Source organism: Homo sapiens, chromosome 18 (genome assembly GCF_000001405.40).
Source record: "Homo sapiens chromosome 18, GRCh38.p14 Primary Assembly".
Classification (NCBI taxonomy): Eukaryota; Metazoa; Chordata; class Mammalia; order Primates; family Hominidae; genus Homo; species Homo sapiens.
Window position 1 is genome coordinate 8,927,762 of NC_000018.10, and position 6,861 is coordinate 8,934,622.

Below are 6,861 nucleotides of genomic sequence, written 5' to 3' on the forward strand. Positions count from 1 at the left end.
GAACCTGGGAGGCAGAGGTTGCAGTGAGCCAAGATCGCACTACTGCACTCCAGCCTGGGCAACAAGAGTGAAACTCCTTCTCAATAAATAAATAAATAAATAAATAGGACTACATCAAAATTTAAAACTTTTGTGGTTCAAAGGATACTATCGAAAGCATAAAAAACCCCACAGAATGAGGAAAAATATTTGCAAATCATCTGTCTGATAAGGGATTAATATCCAGAAAATATAAAGCACTCCTATAACTCAACAAAAAATAAGCAACCCCATTAAAAAATAGGCAAAGGACTTGAATAGACATCAATAAGCACATGAAAAGATGTTCAACATCGCTAGTCATTAGGGAAATGTAAATTAAAACTATGATGAGATATCAGTTCATACCCATAAGATTGGCTATTATTTTTAAAAATAGAAAATAAATATTGGACAGGATGTAAAGAAATTGGAACGCAAGTGCATTACTGGTGGGAATACAAAACAATGCAGCTGCTGAGGAAAGCAGTTTGGTGGTTACTAAAAAAAAGATAAACATAGAATTAATATATAACCTAGAAATTCAACTCTTGGATATACACTCAAAGAACTGAAAGCAGGGATTTACACAAAGACTTATGCATCAATGTTTATTGCAGCATTATTCACAATAGCACCCCATCTCACCACAACCAGCTTTGAGTTATACAACTTACACATAAAATGGAAGAGGATAGGAAATAGACTCTTAAATGGCAAAAATCTGAAAAAGCTAAAGCCTAGTTTTATTTTTTTTTTTATTCTTTGTTTTTTTCTTTTTTGAGACAGAGTCTCGTCCTGTTTCCCAGGCTGGAGTACAGTGGCACCATCTCGGCTCACTGCAACCTCCGCCTCCCAGGTTCAAGCAAATTTCCTGCCTCAGCCTCCTGAGTAGCTGGGATTACAGACACATGCCACCACACCCAGCTAATTTTTGTAGTTTTAGTAGAGATGGGGTTTCACCATGTTGGCCAGGCTGGTCTCAAACTCCTGACCTCAGGTGATCTACCTGCATTGGCCTCCCAAAGTGCTGGGGTTACAGGCATGAGCCGCCATACCTGGCCTACAGCCTAGTTTTAAATTCACAGTGCAGGGTCCTTGAGCCCATGAAGATGCCTCATAAATGTTTGATGAATGAGCACTCATGTTTCAAGGCCCAATTCAAATGTCATCTCCTTCAAGAAGCTCTCCTCTCTTAGCCTGCATGCTCTCTGCTCTGGTGGAATGATTGTGTGTCTATTACAGCACTTAGCATAGGGTGGAGTGGGGGAAGGAGTGTTATTTAGCAGAGTGGACCAAGCACAGCTTGCATTCCAGTCCCCACTGTGTCCTAAGCTGTGTGATTTTGGACAAGTTACTTAGCCCTCCTGAATTTCCTCATGTGGAAAGCAGAGCAATCATTCCTATTTCTTAGAATTATGCTGAGCATTATTAAAGGGCCATACACAATGAGCACAGAGCATTCAATAAATGCTATAATCATTGCTGTGATGACCACATCCCTATTCTTCTAGCAGTAGACTGAATCCTCCCTAGAGGGAACATATATCTGCCTCTCTACCCCTTTTGTAATCGTGTGATGGTGCTTCCCGGCTGCTGCACAGATGAAACCAATTCACTGAGACTGTGGTATTGCAGTAAAGAAATAGTTTAATTTACATGAGGCTGGCTACATGACAGAACTGGAGTTATCACTCAAATGAGTCTCCCCGAAGGCTCAAAGAGAAAAGTTTTTCAAGGATAGTTGGTGGGCAGGGGACTAGGGAATGGGTGCTGCTGATTGGTTGGGGATGTAATCATAAGGGTGTGGAAAACAGCCCTCATGTGCTGAGTCCACTTCTGCATGAGGCCACAGGACCAGTTGAGTCATGAGTCATGGGTCTCAGTGAGCTCAGTCTGAAAAACATCTCAAAAAACCAATCTTAGGTTTTATAATAGTGAAGTTATCTACAGGAGCAATTGGGGAAGTGCCACATGACTCTTGAGCAGTAAGGGATTAGGATTATAGAAACTATGCCTACAAGCCAGGTGTGGTGGCTCACCCCTGTAATCCCAAGCAATTTGAGAGGCCAAAGTGAGCAGATTGCTTGAGCCCAGGAGTTCGAGACCAGCCTGGACAACATGGCAAAAACCCATCTCTACTGAAAATAGAAAAATTAACCAGGCATGGTGGCCCATGTGTGTAGTCCCAGGTACTCTGGAGGCTGAGGTGGGAGGATCAGCTGAAACCAGGAGGCAGAGGTTTCAGCGAGCTAAGATCATACCACTGCACTCCAGCTTGAGCCACAGTGTGGCCCAGGAGTGGTGGCACATGCCTATAATCCCAGCCACTCTGGCGGCTGAGGCCCAAGAATCACTTGAACCCAGGAAGCAAAGGTTGCAGTGAGTAGAGATAATGCCACTGCACTCCAGCCTGGGTGATAGAGCGAGACTGAAAAAAAAAAAGAAAAAGAAAAAAGGGAAGAAAGAAAAAAGAGAGAAAGAGAAGGAGGGAGGAAGGGAGGGAGGAAGGAAGAAACTATGCCTACATTTTGGCAGATTCAGGTCCCTCCCAGAATCCTAATCTTGTGGCCTTTTGCTGGTTTTACAAAGATGGTTTCAGTCCCTGAACAAGGAGGGAGTTAGTTTTATAGAGAGGCTATTATCATCCCCACTTCAAAGTTAAAATATAAACTAAATTTCTCCCATGGTTAGCTGACCCACACCCAGGAATGAGCAAGGATAGACTGTGAGGCCAGCAGCAAGATGGAGTCAGCCATGCTAGACATCTGTCACTGTCATAATATTCGCAAAGGTGATTTCACTTTTCCCCTCACTCAGACACACAGCTCCTGGTCCCTGGTGAAGTGTCAGTTGATGAATGAGTGAGCAAATGAGTGAATGAATGAATGAATGTACGTTAAATCAACCTATTGTCCTGGGGGGTCTCCTGGGGTAGGAACGGCTGGAGACAGGGAAGCTCAGGTATATCACCCACAGGACCAACCTCAGGCATACAGCCTCTTTCATTCCATTTAAGCCCAAAGCAAACACTTACCTTCATGTGGCAACCAATGGCCTCCCCCAGCCAGTTCCTCAGGACCTGAGGGTGCTACAATCTCCCAAACTGCCCTTATGCCAAGGACTTCTGCCAAAAGGTGGCATCACTTGGCTTGTGTTTTGGATTTCAGTATTATTTGTTTTTACCCCTGCTCATGACCTTTCATAATGTCTGAAACATGATATTCCCAGAAGATTTGCTCATTCCTCTATTTTTAGGAAAATATTATAGGGGCAGAAGGAAAACTTCTGAAGATTCACTGAAAAATCAACTTACAAAAGTCAGATGAATTGGAGGAAAGGCATACAAAATGTAACAACGTGTATATGGGGAGCATCACTGAGTGATTACCCAACCCACCAATGGGGTGCAGAAGCTTCTATGTGAGCTCAGAGCATGGTCAAAATAAGGCTACGGTGATGAATCCAGTTATGGGAGGGAGGGGAATGAGAGTTGGCTAGCAAAGAGAGTCTTGTTATGTAAATAAAACCTCATAGGTAGAAACCCTCAGAAAGAATAGATGCTAAATGTTTCTTTAGACCTTTAAAAGTGACAAATTCTAAGTTTGTCTTTCCTGAATTCTGACAAGGGAGAGCCTGGCTTCCTCTATGCAGATTCTCTGTAGATGCAAATTTTCCCCACAAAAGACAGCTTTGCAGGGCTACTTCTGCAGGCTGGCTCTCTGGCAGCCATCTCAACATACGTCAAACAAATGTATTTTAGGGTACAATATTTTTATTTCCTTCAATATCAAAAAATAATGTGCTATTTCTGTAACTGCATTTTGTCTGTTAGTTCAATAGTGGTGTCACGTGTTGTCTTGTTTATTAACTATAAACCAGTGGTTCTAACCTGGGGAGTGGGTGGGTAATTTTGCCCTTGAGGGGATATTTAACAATATCTGAATAATTTGGTGGGAGGCAGTGCTAGGAGCATCTAGTGGGTAGAGGCCAGGGAAGCTGCTAACATCCTGCAATGCAGAGGATAGCCCTCACCATAAAGAATTATCTGTCTCAAAACATCAGTGGTGTTGAGGTAGAGGCACCGCTCTATAACCTAAGAGAAGAAAGGTAGTCATCACTGTTAAATGGTAATTTTCAAAAAAGGCAAATTCATGACTCTCATACAGATATAAAAATGAACCCGTGATAAAGATTTTCTTTTACTCATGAGGGAAGCAGACAAATACTATAGCCCGTTTAAAAGAAACTCCAAAGAGCAAATTTATGGATCAGTTGTATGAAAATTGATATGCCAATTGAGGCAAACTGATTTTCCCACAGTGGGAGGGAAGTTAATTGAACCTCCAGCAGACGGGACATGATTTGCATCCTACACTGCGGAGTGGGTGGGTGATTTACAGTGATTTACAGAACTGTAAAATAGATCCCATGGAACCGGAATCATACAGAATGGTGTTCTGCGAACTACATCAGGGCAAAACACTGAGGCTTGTCAGAATTAAATGTTTGCTCCATCAAGGTCAGTTTAAAGTCACTTGAGAATGAAGAACTAACTCAAAGAAAAGTTTCAACATCAGAGTATTATTTTTATTTTTATTTTCTTAGTAGAGTCTCATTCTTTTGCCCAGGCTGGAGTGCAGTGGCACGATCTTGGCTCACTGCAACCTCCAGCTCCCATATTAAAGCGATTCTCCTGCTCAGCCTCCCAAGTAGCTGGGATTACAGGCATCTGCCACCATGCCCAGATAACTTTTGTGTTTTTTTGTGGCAATGGGGTTTCACCATGCTGGCCAGGATGGTCTCAAACTCCTGACCTTGGGTGGTCTGCCCGCCCTGGCCTCCCAAAGTGCTGTAATTACAGGCGTGAGCCACGATCCCTGGCCTCATCTGGTTGTTCAGAGTAGACTTTCTGAAGCTTCAATGTGCATATGATCACCTGGGATCTTCATGTCTAGGATGAAGTTTGAGTCTTGGTGTTTGTAACAAGCTCCCAGGTCAGGCCAGCCAATACTACCAGTTGATGGACACACTTTGAGTAGCTAAGGTTGGAGAAAAGAAATTTCTTTGTTACAAAGTAAGGAAACCAAAGACAGAAACACTACAAATAGGTTATAGATCTCATCAGTCTCTTGAGCTAAGAAATAAGCCTTTGAAATCCTTAAAACACCCAAGGCATCAGAATTTGCAGGACATGGACCAGACCAGGATACTGGGACTTCTCTTTGGTGTGGAAGACCAGTACAAACAAAAAAGATGTAGTCACCCAACAGGTTCTTCCTGCTACTGCACAGACAAAGCCAGTTCACTGAGTCCATGGTATTGCAGCAAAGAAAGAGTTTAACTTGAGGCCAGCCACATGGGAGAACTCAAGTCAGTCTCCCCACAGATTCAGAAGCTAGAGTTTTTCAAGGATAGTTTGGTAGCATTGGAGTAGGGAATGGGTGCTGCAGATTGGTTGGGGATGCAATCATTGTGAGGCAGGAGAATAGGGTCTGGAGGCAAGGAACACAAGGCTGATTCATGCTGACTTCCTAGAACTAAATCAAATGGAAACACTTCAGCTATGACAGGAAATATCCTCTCCATTTACATAGGGCATACACCAAGTAACCAAAAGGAACCTCTAGAAGGTATTTAAACCCAAGAAAATTCCGTAACCAGGCTCTTGAGCTCCTATGCTCAGGCCCGCTCCCACCCTGTGGAGTGTATTTTTCATTTTCAATAAATCTCTGCTTTTGTTGCTTCATTCTTTCCTTGCTTTGTTTGTGTGTTTTGTCCAATTCTTTGTTCAAGATGCCAAGAACCTGGACACCCTCCACCAGTAATAATAGAGATGTGCAAAACAGTCTTTGGGTGCTGAATCCACCTCTGGGTAGGAGGCCACAGAACCGGCTGAATCATGAGTCCTGGGTCCAGGTGGGGTCAATCTGAAAAACATCTCAAAAGACCATTCTTAGGTTCCACAATAGTGATGTTATCTATAGGAGCAATTGGGGAAGTCACAGATCTTATGACCCCTGGCCACATGACTCCTGAACAGTAAGGGATTATAGAAACTATGCTTACACTTCAGCAGAATTCAGGCTGCTCCCATAATCTTAATCCTGTGGCCTTTCATTAGTTTTACAAAAGTGGTTTCAGTCCCTGAACAAAGAGCAAGTTAGTTTTAGGGAGAAGCTATTAACATCCTTGCTTCAAAGTTAGACTATAAACTAAATTACTCTGATTACTTTGGCCTATGTCCAGGAATGAGCGAAGACAGCCAGCCTGTGAGGCCAGCAGCAAGATGGAGTCAGCCATGCCAGGCTTCTGTGAGTCATAATCTTTGCAAAGGTGGCTTCAAAGATGGGAGGGGTTGCCTTTGGAGTCCAGGATGAGGTAAAAATAATAAACAAATAAAATAAAAAAGAAAACAAAGATGGGAGAGGTGAATGCTGGATGAAAGATAAGGCTTTAAAGTGTCAACTTTAAATAATGAGGTTCAGAAAATGTGATTAAGTATGGTGTTTATTCAAGCCCAAAAGTGGAAGATGGCCACCTAGGAGACATCAACTCCGAAAGAGGCGGTGTTATGTTTCCAAAATGGAAAAGTTCAGGTTTCACTTGTGTAGGCAGAGACAGAGAAGTTTTAGCAGGATTACAACATTTTCCATAGCAGACCAGTGCACATGTTGAAGCGGCCGCATTGTCTGGGATAAATACCCCAGTTCGTCATCTCGTGCCAAGAAAATTTAGAACATGAACACAGATGAGGAGTTTAGGAGCACAGGTTTAATAGGCAAAAGAAAGAAAGAGAAAGTGTGCCCGGAATTGGTGGGTTCTTGGTCTCACTGACTTCAA